Source organism: Homo sapiens, chromosome 3 (assembly GCF_000001405.40).
Source record: "Homo sapiens chromosome 3, GRCh38.p14 Primary Assembly".
NCBI classification, from domain to species: domain Eukaryota; kingdom Metazoa; phylum Chordata; class Mammalia; order Primates; family Hominidae; genus Homo; species Homo sapiens.
The window spans coordinates 27,111,551-27,128,587 of record NC_000003.12 but is presented as its reverse complement, the minus strand read 5'-3'; the positions used below and the strand labels follow the sequence as shown (position 1 = coordinate 27,128,587).

At 37.1% G+C, this 17,037-nt stretch overlaps 1 protein-coding gene across 25 annotated transcripts in view; it reads left to right on the top strand.

Moving 5' to 3' along the window:
* Positions 1 to 17,037, top strand: part of NEK10 (NIMA related kinase 10) — a 262,900-nt gene that overhangs the window by 240,796 nt on the left and 5,067 nt on the right. For 24 of the 25 annotated variants that reach the window (XR_001740034.2, NM_001394969.1, XM_047447506.1 and 21 more), the window contains 3 exons: positions 8,720 to 8,828; positions 12,461 to 12,513; positions 12,593 to 12,648. Coding sequence is in view for 24 of the 25 variants with exons in the window: in NM_001394969.1 (NP_001381898.1) it covers positions 8,720 to 8,828; positions 12,461 to 12,513; positions 12,593 to 12,648 (218 nt within the window). In the remaining variant the exon portion in view is untranslated. Of the gene's footprint in view, positions 1 to 8,719; positions 8,829 to 12,460; positions 12,514 to 12,592; positions 12,649 to 14,289; positions 14,363 to 17,037 lie in introns of those variants that run through there. The other variant, XM_006712998.3, reaches the window with a different exon arrangement.

Below are 17,037 nucleotides of genomic sequence, written 5' to 3'. Positions count from 1 at the left end.
TTGAAAATTGTTTACATAGGAAAGAAGAAAGCTTTTATTCTGCCTTTCCTTTATGAATTCTATCGCATGTTAACAAAATCATTGAGAGGAAAAGTTTCTTATTGTAGAAGTACTTAAGCTAATAAGTGCCAAAGGGATAAAGAATATTCCTGTTTTGCAGTCCCTGTTTAAATGATAGCACCTAGATATGATCACCAATGGGCGTTAATGTCACAAGAAGGACAATCAGGCATTATATGCCACCTGATGGGAGTGTACAGCACTGTCTATGAAATATTCTTGCTAAAAGCTTGAATCTACATCTGATTAAGGCTGTAGATTAGAAGTCAGCAAATTACAGCCCTCAGGCCAATCATTTCTGATGCCTGTGTTTGTAAATAAAGTGTTGTTGGAACGCAACTGCAGAGGTTCACTTAATACTGTCTATGGCTGCTTTTGTTTACAGACAAAGTTGAATAGCAGTTACAGAGACCATATGGCCTGGAACGCCAAAAATATTTACTATCTGATCCTTTACGGGAAAAGTTTGTCTGTCCCTGCTCTGGATCTAGCTATCTACTTGCAGCAAATAAGGGGACAACAGAACATGTTTAATGACATCAGGGGGATAATCAGCAAAATCCAGCCAGGAAATCCATAGGAAAAGTGACCTGTTTTCTTCAATAAATAAATTTCAGGAAGAGGGGAGGAGGAGAGAAGAAGGGAAGAAAAGGGAGAGAAAGAGTGTGGAGAAGCGGAGAGGGATTGCCTGTAAAGATTAAAGCATTTTAGGGAAAATAACCACTTGCAATATATGGAATTATTTCTTCCTGACTTAAACATAGAAACTCTAAAAGTGTTTGAAATATATATTTACAAGAAAGTTGGGAAAATTAAAACATTGATTATATATTTGTTAGAGAGTCATGCACCACATAATGATGTTTTGGTCAGTGATAGACTGGATATATGACAGTGGTCCCACAAGATTATAATAGCATAATTTTACTGTACCTTTTCTGTATTCAAATATGTTTAGATACATAAATACCATTGTGTTGCGGTTGCCTACAGTATTTAATACAGTAAAATGCTGCATAGTTTTGTAGCATAGGAACAATAGGCTCCTATTGCTCCTATTGCCAGCATATAGCCTAGGTGTGTAGTAGGATGTACTATCTAGTTTTGTGTAAATACACTCTATGATGTTTGCACAATGATGAAATTGCCTAATGATGTGTTTCTCAGAATGGATTTCTGTTGTTAAGCAGTGCATGACAGTATTCAGGAATCAATAACCTCTTAGGTGGGATAATTATATTGTGGTTTTGTTTTTTAAAAAGAAATCCATCTCTTTTAAAGAGCCATGCTGAAATATTACGGATAGTATGATATGTTGTACAGGATTTGCTTTCCAATTCTTGAGAGTGAGACAAGGTAGGAAGGGAAGTGGGGGAGATTTAAATGAAGCAAGATTGAACATGTTTTAACTGGGTGACGGGTACGTGGAATTCATTGAATTGTTATCTTTACTTTTGTAAATGTTTGAAGTTTTTTATAATAAAAATATTTATGGGTTTTTTGTTTGTTTGTTTGTTTGTTTTAGTGTATTCCGGGCTTCTCCTAGATCAATTACTGGGCATTAGCATTTTGAAAACAGCTCTCCCATCAAAGCTGCCAGTTAGAATTGGACAGGTTATTTTCTGTTCAAGAGCACCTGGATGAAGAGACTGACTGGGGTTGCGTCCTCCGGAAGAAGGGAGTGACTTTTTCTAATTTGCACTAAGACACAATAGGGGCTAGTTGGCTGTCTAGGAGTTGGATCAAGGTTTGTTGTTGTTTTTTTTTTGCTCCCAGGTGATTCTAATTTGCAGCCAAGGGTGAGAATCAGTGGCCTGGTAGGATCAGGGTTTCTCACATTTTATTGTTTATATCAATCATCTGGGGATCTTGTTAATGTGTGGATTCTGATTCAGTAGGACTGGGGAAGGGTGGAGATTGTGCTCTTCCAATCATCTTCCAGGTGATGGCTGCTGCTGCTGCTGATCCAGGGACACACTTTGAGTGGCAAACCTATAAAATATAGTACCTGCCCACTGTGAACTTATGGTATATCCAACAGGCTTGAGACTTTTTATTAGAAAGACAGGTTATCTAATAGGCCAAATATTTATCCAGATGCAATTGTATCCTGGACCCAATATTCTGCATTTCTGTCTAGTTCCCTTATGTTACTGATGCTGTAATTCTATAGATCACGCTTTTGATAAGAAAGCCCAGACAAAACCCAGTAACATTTTCCCTGTGTTATTACCCAGATTGCTTCCTGTAGGCATGGGCCTTTCTGACATTTCTGTTTAGTTCCTAATCTCTGTTTCAATGCAGATCAGCAAGGCCAAGTTTGCTTTATTTAGCAGCTGGCACTTCCTTTAATTCCTAACTCCAGGTTTTCAGCTCTTCTCCAAGTAGGCAGATTGCTTAGGTGCTCAGACTTGAATTAACGGCTCTTTATGCATATAATAATCATGACTTAGGTTTGCACAACCCTTATTAGGGCCCCATGGAGGCATTGTGAATCAGCAGTGCCCAGCAGCAACCTGTTTTGAACAAGTAGAGAAGCTCCTATAGCAGGGCTCTCCTTCCCAGCCAGGTCAAGCCACCGTTCACTCTTCCTTGACATCACCTTCAGTGTTGAGTCAAGTTCCTGGGAGGATGAGCTCCTGGTTGTAAGTAGTGTAGAACAGTGGTTTTTCAGCCTTCTTTTAGTTTAGGGATTTTCTGTTAGGAACACAATCCTTGCTGGAAATGTAAACACCACAGCAACAGGAATACTTTTGGCAGAAACGGGGATGAGTGTGAGGTGTACATCCCTGGGGCTTAGAAAGTGTGGTGGAGCCAGTGATGGGCCATGCATGTATGGGTCCACATGCATATGTGCATTTGTGTGTGTATGTATAAGAAAATAGTAAGTAGGAATACTGGACATTTCTGTTAACAAAATGTCCCATAGAAAGCTAATAAAAACTCATATGGAGAAGCTGTATGTTAGAAAAGATAAAAAAATTAGGCAATATGTTGTATCTTATAATAGTGTAGTTCAGTCAAAGAAGATAAGGAAAATCTGAGGGAAGTAAGACCAGAAGACTGGCGAGTGCAGAGTGATGAAATGTGTTGAAAATTTTCTCACTTCTGGCACCTCATTTTATTTATGTTTGGCTCAGTTTCCTTCAGAGTTCTACCTCAGTTGATTAGATTCCCAAATATTGTGTGTAATTGTTCTACAGTGAGGATAACCCTATTTTATCATATGAAAAAGATGTTGTTTGGGAAATTTAATAAATATTACATGTATAGTTTCTTTATTTTTTCTATTTAGGTTTTGCCTAGAAAGTACTATATTCTCAATTGACCAAATAAATGATAAAATTGCTCAATACTTGCTCAAAAATCAGTGTTTTTTGGGGGGAGAGGTAGTAACAATGATACAGTCTGTTCTCCTTAATATATTTACTTAGTTTAGTTCGAAAGTATATTCAGTCATTTGCTCTTTAGAACTGTAGGTGTCTATTCAGAGCAGGAGGGCCCTATTATTGTCAACTCAGAAGGAGGCTCTTACACATTCTTTCAAACAGAGTTTGAATGCTAAAAAGGAGGTACAACTATAAGCTGAATGCTCATGAGGCAAAAAAAAGGGTTCACACAGCACTTGCATTGGACTACTGAACCATCTCATGGCCTCATCTAGCCATTGGGGCCTCTGCTTAAAGATGTTCTGCTGTGTCCTCCATATTTCCACCTGCTGGGTGAACATTTACTTTGCCATCTGGCATGTCGGGAATTAGACTCACCACCTTCTCCTCCCTTCCTGTGTCCACATCAGTTTCCTTGAAAGCATCCGTTTTCCTTCAGCTAATTCTTTAAACCTCACGCTTTTTCACCTGCTCTGCTTCATTTCTTTTACCCGCTAAGTCATTAATGCCTGAGTAGTCTGTAGTCACTAAGGTTCTGACCTTTGATGTAAGACAGCCCTAGCTTCTGGCCCTGGTTCTGCCACTTAATAGCTGTTTCTTGTGTAAATTACTTTCCTTCTCCATTTCCTTGTTTGTAAAAGGGGGTAATACTTGCCTTAGAGGGTAGTTGTAAGAATCAGCTAGAATATCTACTGTGTCTAGAATGTTGTAAGTATTCAATACATGTCAATTAGTACTACTATTGTTAAATAAGAATATTCAGTCTTCCATATCCATTCCTTCCTTTGGTTGCCATCTAGTCTAAGCTCTGGGCCCTTCTCTCTTGCATTAGTGTCACAGCTTCTTTGCTGATCTTCTTGTTCTCCAATCTATCTTGTCAGACTAATAGTTATTAAGCATTTTTTTATTAGCATACTCAAAAACCTTAGTAGATTCCTGTTTTCTGTCTCACCATCTAAACTCTGGGATCCAGCTTTCCAGGCCCCCCTTACTTGTAGGAGCCTCTTAATAGTCTGTCTGCATTCACCCTGATGTTCCCAACCCCACTTAAACTGTTTTGTGTATTACATCCAGGATGAACCTTTCAAAACAGATCATGTCACACTTGTACACACACACACACAACACAGAAAATCCTTCAAGGAACTCAGTATAAAATGCCAAAATCAGGTCTAACTCCTGCCCTTCTGTTCACCCTCATCTTGTATCACTCTTGCCCCTTGCTGTCTCCACGTCAGCCACCAGGCCTTTTCTAAAATTTGTTTATCTAGCATGCTGCTTCCTTCGTAGTCTTGTACATGCTTTTTCCTCTGCCTGTAATGTTCTTCTCGCCCCATCTACTCATTCTTACTCATTCTTTCAGCTCTTGGCATAAATGTCACTTTTTCATGGAAGCCTTTGCTGACTAAGTCAAATCTATCTGCTACCTCCTAAAGTCACAAACCTGTCTTTCAATGCATTTAGAACAGTTGCAATTTTACATGTATCTAGGTGGACATTTCACAGACATATTTCTCCCTAAGTAGTTAGCGAACTCCAAGAGTATAATTTTTATCCATTAATGTGTTTTTTCATTGTTTGGATCTGTGCTTGGCACAAAATAATTGATTAAAAATACTAAATTAATGAATGGAACTTGTTTTCCTCATTTCATCATGAATGCCCATATAACATGGAATCATGTCATATCCCTTTCATCATTTTTCCATTAATATGCAATGCCCAACCTTTACCTCCAAGTTCCCCCTACCTGGAATGTCCACTTTGATTGCTGTGATTTACCTAAATTTATCCTTCAAAGATCAGCTCCAGTGTTTCTTCTACAGAACCTCTAAAAAAACCAAGCTAGTCTTCATGAAGGACCCTTCTTTTTGTAAGTTTACAAATCACTATTTCATTTCATGGTTCATGATTTATGATATCACCCTATTTTTGCTCATTATTATCCTGTTGTCCTAGTCAGATTGCAAGTCTCACAGAAACCAGATTATTTCTGCATCCTGCTCAGATCATAAACCATGCTGTCCAACATACACTGGGGGCAAAAAATAGTTTGCTAAAACAATGTGTATATCTAGAAACTGAACTGCAAAAAGTAGTTCTGGGAAGTTCCTAGAATGAAAGTCAGTGTATCTGGGATTCGTCAAAAAATGAATTTTAGTCCTTGCCTTCATCCGTGTGCCGATCTCTCTAAGAATTTCCAGTTCTTAAGCTCAGTGAGACTACCAGTGTGACATAAGCACTGGAAATGAAAACTCCTCTCTTCAGAGTTTGAGATGAACCCTGAAAGATGACTTGTCCTTGTCATCTTAAAATAGCAATCTTGACCTCTCCAAGTCACAATTCATGTAATTTTTTTTGAGGCTTTAAATATCTTTCTGTCTTTGAAATCTTTAGAATTCCAAGGTATAAACTTAATAATTAAATTAAGTAAGCTTTTTATAATTAGGATGAGATTTCAGGCAGCCAGTTACTCCTACGCTAAACCATATGAAAAATTCCATCTGAAGTCATTTGAAAGGTAATACCAGGAAATCATTTTCAGCATCACAAGACATTAAAAAGCTTATTTGTAGCCACCTACAAGCTGGGATATGAGATATACAGAATGCTCAGGGCTACCTCCATGAAACCCTGCAGCACAGATGAGAAAGTTTTTAAGTGTGTGACTGTCAGGGCTTCCTGTATTACAGTATTTATAATCTTACAATCTTGTCATATTACAGATGGGTTATATATTAGTCCATTCTCAGGCTGCATGAAGAAATGCCCGAGACTTGGTAATTTATAAAGCAAAAAGGCTTAATTGACTCACAGTTCCACATGGCTGGGGAGGCCTCAGGAAACTTACAATCATGGTGGAAGGCACTTCTTCACTTCTTCACTGGGCGGCAGGAGAGACAATGAGTGCAAGCAGGGGAAATGCCAGACACTTATAAAACCATCAGATCTCGTGAGATCTCACACACTATCATGACAACAGCATGGGGGAAACCACCCCCATGATCCAATTACCTCAGTTATCAGTTATCACTGATAAAAATGGATATAATCATATATTTTTTTCCTTAGAGGGTAGTAGGTGTTTGTCAACATGGAGACTAGGAAACCCACAAATGATTTGTATTTACAATATCCAAAGTCCATTGATGGAAAAAATTAATTTTTAATTGCTAATATAAAATATTTTAAGGTATAAATTCATAGTGAGTACAATGAGGTACATATACAGCCTCATGAAGTTTTATGAACACATTTTCACCCATACGACCACCACCCACATCAATATATAGAATATTTCTAGCTCTGCAGAAGACCCCTTTGTACGGCCACATTACATCTCCTGCCACAATGTAATCATTACCTGATTTCTGTTACCCTTGGTTAGTTTTGTCTGATTGTATTAGTCTATTTTCATGCTGCTGATAAATACGTACCCAAGACTGGGAAATTTACAAAAGAAAGAGGTTTAATTGGACTTACATTTCCACGTGGCTGGGGAAGCCTCACAATCATGGCAGAAAGCAAGAAGGAGCAAGTCACATCTTACACGGGTGGCAGCAGGCAAAAAGAGAGAGAGCTTGTGCAGGCAAACTCCAGTTTTTGAGGCTATCAGATCCTGCGAGACTTTTTCACTATCACGAGAACAGACAGGAAAGACCCACACCCATGATTCAATTACCTCTCACCAGGTCCTCCCATGACACATGGGAATTGTGGGAGTTACAATTCAAGATGAGATTTGGGTGAGGACACAGCCAAACCATATCACCGATGATGAAAATTTCTAAGAATGAAGTCATACACTATGTATTTTGTTTCTGGCTTCTTTTCTCCAACACTGAACCGTGTTGCTCTGAGTATCCATAGTTTGTTCTTTTTTATTGCTTTGCAGAATTCCATTGTATGAACACACCATGATATATATCTATCCATTCTTTTCTCCACGGACAATTGGGGTTTTTCTAGATTTTAGTTATTATGAAAAAAAGATGGCATGAATATTCTTATACATGTCTTTTGATGGGACATATGCACTTATTTCTCTCATATAAATCCTTAAGAGTCAGATTGCTGGGTCATAGGGTAGGCATATATTATTAAAATGTAGTGTCTATTGCAAATAGTTTTCTCAAGTGATTGAACAATGATGTATTTTAACTCATAAACAAAGTATATGAATACAAGCTAACTACTATAGCATAGTACAAATTATGCCATTTTTTCTGACTTATTATTATGAATTTATATTTTAAAAGTAATTTAGGCACTAAAATTTGGCCAGCCCAAGTGATAATTGGAATTAAAGGTGAAAGGAGGTTGAAAAACGTTTACGGTCTAAAATTCTACTTTAAAAATTCAGCTTTATAGAAAGGCATTAAATGATTGAAACTTTAATAAATACCGTCATTTGGCAAATTACTCTTTCCATCAGAGTGCTGGGAATTAATATTTGGAGATTAAAATTAATTAATAGTAATTTCGAAAAATGTATTAAGAAACTTATTTGGCCAGGCGCGGTGGCTTATGCCTGTAATCCCAGCACTTCGGAAGGCCAAGGTGGGTGGATCAGCTGAGGTCAGGAGTTCGAGACCAGCCTGGCCAACATGGTGAAACCCCATCTCTACTAAAAAAAAAAAATACAAAAATTAGCTGGGCATGGTGGTGGGTGCCTATAATCCCAGCTACTCGGGAGGCTGAGGCAGGAGAATCCCTTGAGCATGGAGGTGGAAGTTGCAGTGAGCCGAGATTGTGCCACTGCACTGCAGCCTGGGCGACAGAGTGAGACACTGTTGCAGAAAAAAAAAAAAGAAAAAAGAAAAAGAAACTTACTTTCCTTGGTCAAACAAAAAGGAATTATTCAAAGCAGATACATGAAAAAAAAATAGTGATTTGGGCTAAGCATATTGTTCTGTTGAATAATTGGAGTTTATTCCTCCCATGCCTGATAAAAATAACATCTTGATATCCCAGCTTCATGCCAGTATTTTTATATTCATTTTTCTTTTGCTCTCATAAGGCCATAAAGTATATTTTTTCATATGACCAGAGAATTGTCCAACTTGCTTTCACTGTAATTTTGCTGCATCCAATTTATAAATTCTTTTGGAAAGAAGATTATTTCTTTATCTATTTACAAGGGATTGAAAACCACAGAACACTAAATTTTCTGTGCAGAGACATAGGGAAATGAAAAACCCCACACAGAGGTCTCCTGCCATTTCCTTCTGAGTGTAAACTAAGATGTGATTTTGCTTTTTCTATTTCAGTTATCTCAGGGATCTCCAGAACCGATTGAGCCCAACTTTTTCACAGCAGATTACCATTTATTACATCGTTCATCCGGTGGAAACAGCCTGTCCCCAAATGACCCTACAGGTAATAGTGATCAACATGGGTAACCTGGCTTTCATGAAGAAATATATTGTTTGGATCAACAGCTATTTCTAAAAGATTATCTCCAATTTTTTTTTAAATAGAGCTTGTTTTGATTATTTATAGCAATAGTTGGAAGGCACATATGGTAGGAATCTAGAAATTCCCTGAAATTTATCTTACCCAGTTGTGGCAGCTTCCTTGATCATTTATTAATATCATAAACAAACAGCAGAATCTGTGTGGGTGAGTTGTATTTCCTTTTATTTCTTTTTGCTTATCTGATGATGGGAAATCAAATTCCCTAAAGCATGTAGGGAGATAAAGAGCAGAAATAAGGAGTTTAAATATTCAAAATAGAGAAACCCTTGAAACTCACCTAAAGAATCCACATTAGACACTTGAATTTTTTTCTCTTTTACATAAAATTCACATAGGGAGGCAGTATAGCATAGGGATTTAAAGGCACATATTCTGGAAACCTGGGTGCCTAGATTCAAATCTTGGCTAAACCATTTAGTAGCTGACTATGGACAACTATTTAACCTCTCTGAACCCCAGTTTCCTTGCCTGTAAAATGGGGATAAATACTTGCATCACAAGGTTATAGTGAGGATTAGAGTAAAAATAAAAACTGCCTGTCTATTAGTAGGGGCTCAGCATAATTGAACTCTTCTTGTCATATCTGAATTCTAAGAGGAAGCTTTCAAGCTACTCTGAGGTTTCAGTACTCCTAAATAATTTTTGAATCTTTATAAACGGTAGCTATGTCACTTGGAGGAGTGGATAGAAGTGAAGATTTTACAGTTAAATGAAGACTTGCCATCTCTTTAGCTTGGAAAAAATGCTCACTTTTGTTGTGCTTTTGTTGCTGACTGAACAAATTATTTCATGAATTAATTGACAAACTTTCCTTTGGTCTTCTGGGATAAAGCTAAACCCTATGTATGCAGAATTTTATTTAAAATAATCTCTGAGAAATCCAAGATAAAAAGTTGTTTAAAGTAATTTGCTTTTAAAATCATTTCCAAGACAGGGAAGTTTATCTGCAGGTCAAACTTCTCCGCATCATAGAAACTCTGATGAAATGAAGAACTTTGATAAAAATCTCTCAAAAACCTGAGGGTGAGTTGACAAACTCCCCCCAGGGCAGCTGGATGCCCCACTCCAGAGCTGACTAGGCTTGGCCCATGTCACAGCTGGCTGGGCAAAAGCAAAAACAGCAGAGCCTGCCAGTACTGTGGGGTATGCCTTTAAAGATGAGCCACCAGTACTCACATTTTCACATCTCTTCTTGACCCTAAACCCATTCTCTCTTCTCTATTTGAATTGGCAGAGAAGTGGCCTAGGCCTCTACATGTCAGTGTTGATTGGTTTGAGTGAAAGCTGGTCAACACGGCTTTGGGTGGCATCGGAGTGTGTTAAGGTGCTGGTATACCAAATTCTGATCAACCATCATAAAGTCTGTCCAGCAAGACAATCCCAAGCAAAAAGGACAAAGCTGGAGGCATCACATTACCTGACTTCAAACTATACTACAAGGCTTTAGTAACCAAAACAGCATGGACTGGTACAAAAACAGACACATAGACCAATGGAACAGAATAGAGAACTCAGAAATAGGACCATACATCTGGAACCATCTGATCTTTGACAAACCTGACAAAAACAAGCAATGGGGAAAGGATTCCTTATTTAATAAATGGTGCTGGGAGAACTGACTAGCCACATGCAGAAAATTGAAACTGGGCCCCTTCCTTACACCTTATACAAAAATTAATTCAAGATGGATTAAAGACTTAAATGTAAAACCCAAAATTATAAAAACCCTAGAAGAAAATCTAGACAATACCATTCAGGACATAGGCCTGGGCAAAGATTTCATGACGAAAATGCCAAAAGCAATTATAACAAAAGCAAAAATTCACAAATGGGATCTAATTAAAGAGCTTCTGCACAGCAAAAGAAACTATCATCAGAGTTTACAGACAACCTACAGAAAGAGAAAATTTTTGCAATCTATCTATCCGACAAAGGTGTAATATCCAGAATCTGCAAGGAACTTAAACAAATTTACAAGAAAAAAGCAACCCCATTAAAAAGTAGGCAAAGGACATGAACAGATGCTACTCAAATGAAGACATTTATGCGGCCAACAAACATATGATAAAAAGCTCAACATCATTGATCATTAGAGAAACGCAAATCAAAACCACAATGAGAAACCATCTTGTGCCAGTCAGAATGGCAATTATTTAAATGTCAAGAAACAACAGATGTTGGCAAGGCTGTGGAGAAATAGGAATGCTTTTACACTGTTGCTGGGAATGTAAATTAGTTCAACCATTGTGGAAGACAGTGTGGCTATTCCTCAAAGACCTAGAACCAGAAATACCATTTGAACCAGCAATCCCATTACTGGGTATATACCCAAAGAAAAATAAATCATTCCCTTATAAAGATACATGCACACATATGTTCATTGCTATACTATTCACAATAGTGAAGACATGGAATCAACCCAAATGCCCATCAATGATAGACTGGATAAAGAAAATGTGGTACACATGCACCATGGAATACCATGCAGCTATAAAGAGGAATGAGATCATGTCCTTTGCAGGGACATGGATGGAGCTGGAAGCCATTATCCTCAGCAAACTAACACGGGAACAGAAAACCAAACAACAAATGTCCTCATTTATAAGTGGGAGCTGAACAATGAGAACACATGGACACAGAGAGGGGAACAACACACACTGGGGCCTGTTGGGGTGGTGGAGTGGGTGAGGGGAGGGAGAGCATCAGGATAAATAGCTAATGCATGCTGGGCTTAATACCTAGCTACTGAGTTGACAGGTGCAGCAAACCATCATGGCACACATTTACCTATATTACAAACCTGCACATCCTGCTCATGTATCCTGGAACTTAAAATTAAATTAAATTAAAAAAAAAAATCTGGCCAGCCATGGTGGCACATGCTTATAATGTACAGACGTTGGAAGGCTGTAGGCAAGAGGATGACTTGAGCTCAGGAATTCAAGACCAACCTGGGCAACATAGTGAGACCCTATCTCTACAAGATGATGATGATAATAATAATAATAGTAATAATAAACATTTTAAAAGTCTTCTGGCAATAAATATATTTTTTCCCTCTAGGCAGCTATATGAAAGGGTCAGATCTTTGGTCTCTTTACATCTGTATCTGCCTCCCTGTAAGAATCAATTTTCTTTCTAACGTATATTTATTCTTCTTAGCCTGTAGATTAGGGAGAGTTTCTTAATCAGAAAACACCCATCAGGTAATTTGCATTGGGAATCACCCCTCACTTGCCCTTAACACATACACACACACACCTCTAACTTTATTGGACACTATGAGCAATGCCCCTTAATCTTCATATATCATTTTGTGATGCCCATGCCCAAGGAAGTCAGTTATTAAAGAAAGGAAAACAAAACACTTGAATATTCAAAGCCAAGGCAGATGCTTTGGAATTTGCTTGTTCCATCTTTATCATTAAGAAATTGACCTGTTTGCCCTGTGGTTGAAGTCATAATTGCCAGTAAAGAATAACTAAGAAAATGTGAACCCAAATGTCAGACTTTCCATAATTTATCTTTTTTAGGTTTACCAACCAGCATTGAATTGGAGGAAGGAATAACATATGAACAGATGCAGGTGAGGTTTTTGCAGTGTCTCTGAATGATTTTATTTTGTTACTTCTAATTCAATACTAACCTGATTTTTAAAATTTTAGACTGTGATTGAAGAAGTCCTTGAGGAAAGTGGCTATTACAATTTTACATCTAACAGGTAAGAGCTAGAGTTTGCCTTCAATTGTGAAAGATGAATTGAGGTCATCAGATGTTAGATCTAATTTCTTTATCCTTTATTCCAGAGGGATTTTTTTTCAGATTTTATTTTAAATACTTTTATAAAATATCTTGGCTTAGACTAGATACATCTATAAGTAGAATATATGTGCCCATCTTTTGTGTGGACACAGTTGCTGTATTCTCAGTTGAAACAAAAAGGGTGATTGCTTAGTAGAAATTTATTCCCATAAAAAATCATAAATATAAGTAAATGGAAAAAGCATTTCTAGATTGGTTTTTTAAACATCAAATATTTGTTTGTCTCATTCTAGAAGAGCTGAAAACTCACTCCTATCACTTAAATCTACCCACTATTTGCACAGAAGGCTAGGGACAAAGTGCAACTGAACAAAGAATCATTTCTTGTGAATTTAAGATATATTTGTGGAGAAGAGACTTTGCTATTGTATGTTGCCATTTGTTTACCCTAAATAAAAAACCTCCATTTACTGGAGCTGTATGTTATCTTCCAATATAGCTATCGTTGGTGTTCTAAGAGTATATGCTATTTTATCAATTGCATCAATTTTTATAATTTTAGTTTTGGAAATAGTGTTGGCACAACAATTTGAGTACAATTAGTTTACTATGAAGTTATTCAAGAAAGGTTTTATAATCAAGCAAATTAGCATTGTAGGTGATTGAAGCCTGATCCCACTGGGGAAATCTAAGAGCTGATATAGAATATGTACCAGGGCCATCCCACACAAAGAGTGAGAGAGCTGAGGTATTTATCCTCCAATCTCCATCAGTCATTGTTTAAGGCCTTTCCCTAGGAAGTGTTAATGCCCTGTTTTTTTCTGGCCTTTTGTAAATATGAACAAAGAAGACTCCAGGGGTCAGAGAAATCCTCAGGAAAAGAAGTGCAGGTATTCCATTATTGAATTTCTTTATATATTAGCAGGTAGAAATCTGCCAGCGTGCTTTGAAGTGGAATAGATAGGGGTATGGGTGTTTACAATGTCTGCTACACAAGAGTTGTCTGTTGACTTACCTAAGGAGCCTACTCATAGCTGAGTCATCAAATTGGTTGCAAGTATCCACACACACACTCTATCTGGGCCACAGTTGTTTTAGGAGGCATAGTCCTTTGGAGTATATTCTCTCAAAGTGGTCTTTTATGCCTGGAGGGACTGCCTTCCTTTTCAATTATTGAAGCTATTTTGTGACCACTATTTAAATTATTCCAGAAGTCTTCACCAAAGATGACTAGTAACAACGGGAAGAGAAAGAGGGCTCAAGAACATCCTGTTAAGGTCATTATATAGAAATTAGATTCTTTTCTAAGGTTAGTTCAGTCTCCAGTGTTTCTTCTCCTTTTTCTTCTACTTCTCCCATTTCAAGGAGTTTTTCTTATGAGTCACAAGTAAAATTATTCAACTACTTGCTCTTTTGACTTGATAACAGTTTCAAAATACTACCTTTATAAATTTAGATCTGTTGTGATTTGTAACTGCAGAGGAACAATGAGTAATTCTCATTTTCTAAAGATATACCGTCAATAGAAATTACCATCTCCACAACTACTCTCCTCCCACCATCCCTGGAGAGATTTTTGAATTTTCATTTTCTATTCAAGGGCTGAGTATATGCATTAGGAAAAGAAAATGGTAACAGGAACAGAAAGAGCAGCAAGGACCTCTGACCAAGTTTGGATATTTCTCATTTCTGGGCTTCCGGGAAAAAGGGAGCTAGGACTGAGTTGGAAGGAAGAAAGCTGTGTAAAGAAAGTTAAAGAAGGTCATAAAGGCTTGGCCAGCCTCGTAGCTCTTCCCAAAGCAGGCTCTATTTTTGATCATTTGCATGGTTGTATGATAAATTACATTTTACATACATAAGCATACTATCATGGATAGTATGAATGTTTCTGTTTTTAACTGTGAGCCTCATTATTTCAAGTGCCCTTGGCTTGTACTGGGGAAAAGATGACTCTTGTCATTTTATCTGCATTTTCTCAGAGACTTGGGATCATGGGCAAGGAATGTCTTCATATTTTTTGCAGAAAATCATTTAAATATCAAGAAAAACTAAGTGTGCAAGGAACTTAAGGAAGCTCTTACAAGAACTTTTATTTTCCCTTTATTAAAAAATATTTGTCTTATTTTGGAATTTATCATTATTCTTTTTCAATTCTACTTTCATTAGGTTTTAAACCGATCTAGTTCCAAAGACATATGGCTTTATTAAAAGACATTGCAAATTTTCTTATTATGATAAACAGATAATAAGATGCCTTATAACAAAGGCAAAAAATTATTCAGTTATATTTGTAATTGTGAATCTATTATGAAGGTATGATGAAACAGTCAAGTTTAAGCAATATAAGTTGGGTATTGCATTAAATTTTCTTAAAGTGCTCCAAATTAAAATGAATCACATTTAAAAATCCATATATCCATGGTATTCCCTTTTTGGCTTCTTTTTTTTTTTTTTTTTTTTTTTGAGATGGAATCTCGTTATGTTGCTCAGGCCAGGCTGAAGTGCAATGGTGCGATCTTGGCTCACTACAAACTCCACCTCCTGGGTTCAAGCGATTCTCCTGCCTCAGCCTCCCGAGTTGCTGGGATTATAGGCGCCCACCACCACACCTGGCTAATTTTTGTATTTTTAGTAGAAACGGGGTTTCTTCATGTTGGCCAGGCTGATCTTGACCTGGCCTCAGGTGATCCACCTGCCTTGGCCTCCCAAAGTGCTGGGATTACAGGCATGATCCACCACACCCGACCCCCTTTTGGCTTCTAATAGCAATGATAGAACATATCTTGGGAGAAAAACTCTCCAGAATTTGTTTGTAAAAATAACCCTTGTTTGTGCCTAAAGCCACTCTTTGTTTACTAGTATTCCAAAATAATTTCCAAGAAATAAGTCAGGCTTCAATTAGAAGCACCTACTAATCCACAAACTGTGAATAACACATAACTCCAAGTACAAATCAGATTAGCTGGTACTGTCATGCTTTTTTCCACAAAGGATGGAGGGTGCTAAATGTCACAGCATATGTAGAGGTATTTAGAATCAGTATTTAGAATTAGTAGACTGCATTTTTCCCCAATAGGTTTCATAGAATGGGCAATATTATCAAAGATGTCAATAGATAGTCTCTGAAAAATAAAGTTTCATGGCCACATATATTTGGGAAACTCAGAATGTACAATTTTTTATATTTGGAGAATGTTGACACCTATTACTATATTAAAGACTCTGAGATGTACTATAAGAAAGAAATCTGTTGACCTTGTTTGTTGACCTCAGTGTTTTCCTCACTCTTTACATGGAATACAATTGAGGAAAGCTGTTTTAGCTATGTGGTTGGAAATGAGGAACACCGTTTTCACTCCTTCACCAGGGTCTACCCAGATCTCTGTTGTTCTCATTGACATGGTCATCATTGTCATCATCGTCATTGCAAAATTTGTTCTTAAATGAATTAAGCACCGTGCTGAGAAAGTTACATATATAATTTCGGTGTTATTCAAGTTTACAATTTAAGACTATCAGTTTGAATAGTACACACATCATCTAGCCAGCCAGTCACTAAAGGATTAATTCAAGATAAGGTACATTTTTGGTTTAAATTATAGGGTTTATATTTAGTTAAGGAAGAGAATAGAGAGGTGCCATTTTCAGACTGAAAGTCTCAGGATAAAGCCATTATCTATCTGTTAGCTATCTTTGAGGAAGATTTCTGGAACTGTTTAAATCATGAGGAGACTGCTTGGACAGTTAGGAAGAATGTCTCAGGCATAAAATGCTGCATTAGGAAAAGAAAATGGTAACAGGAACAGAAAGAGCAGCAAGGACCTCTGACCAAGGTTGGGTATTTCTCATTTCTGGGCTTCTGGGAAAAAGGGAGCTAGGACTGAGTTGGAAGGAAGAAAGCTGTGTAAAGAAAGTTAAAGAAGGTCAAAAAGGCTTGGCCAGCCTCATAGCTCTTCCCAAAGCAGGCTCTATTTTTGATCATTTGCATGGTTGTATGATAAATTACGTTTTATATACATAAGCATTTAGCTTGCTTACCAGAAGGATGCAACTTAATATGCCTTAATTTTATCATTGTTGTTTGTGAGGATAAAATCATTTGAGTCATGAATAAACAGATAATGAGCATATAATCTTTATGAATATACTTATGTATTACATTAATATTTTATTTTTAATAATAAAATGTGTTGAGAAATAACAGTATACAAGATAACAAATCTACATTGAATCAACTTGAATTGTTTTATTTCCCCAATTGACTGATAAGCGTGTAAATTAGTTATTTTAACCTACACAGGTATTCAAGTATACAAGCTATTTTGAATGAATATTTGTTTTTCTACTA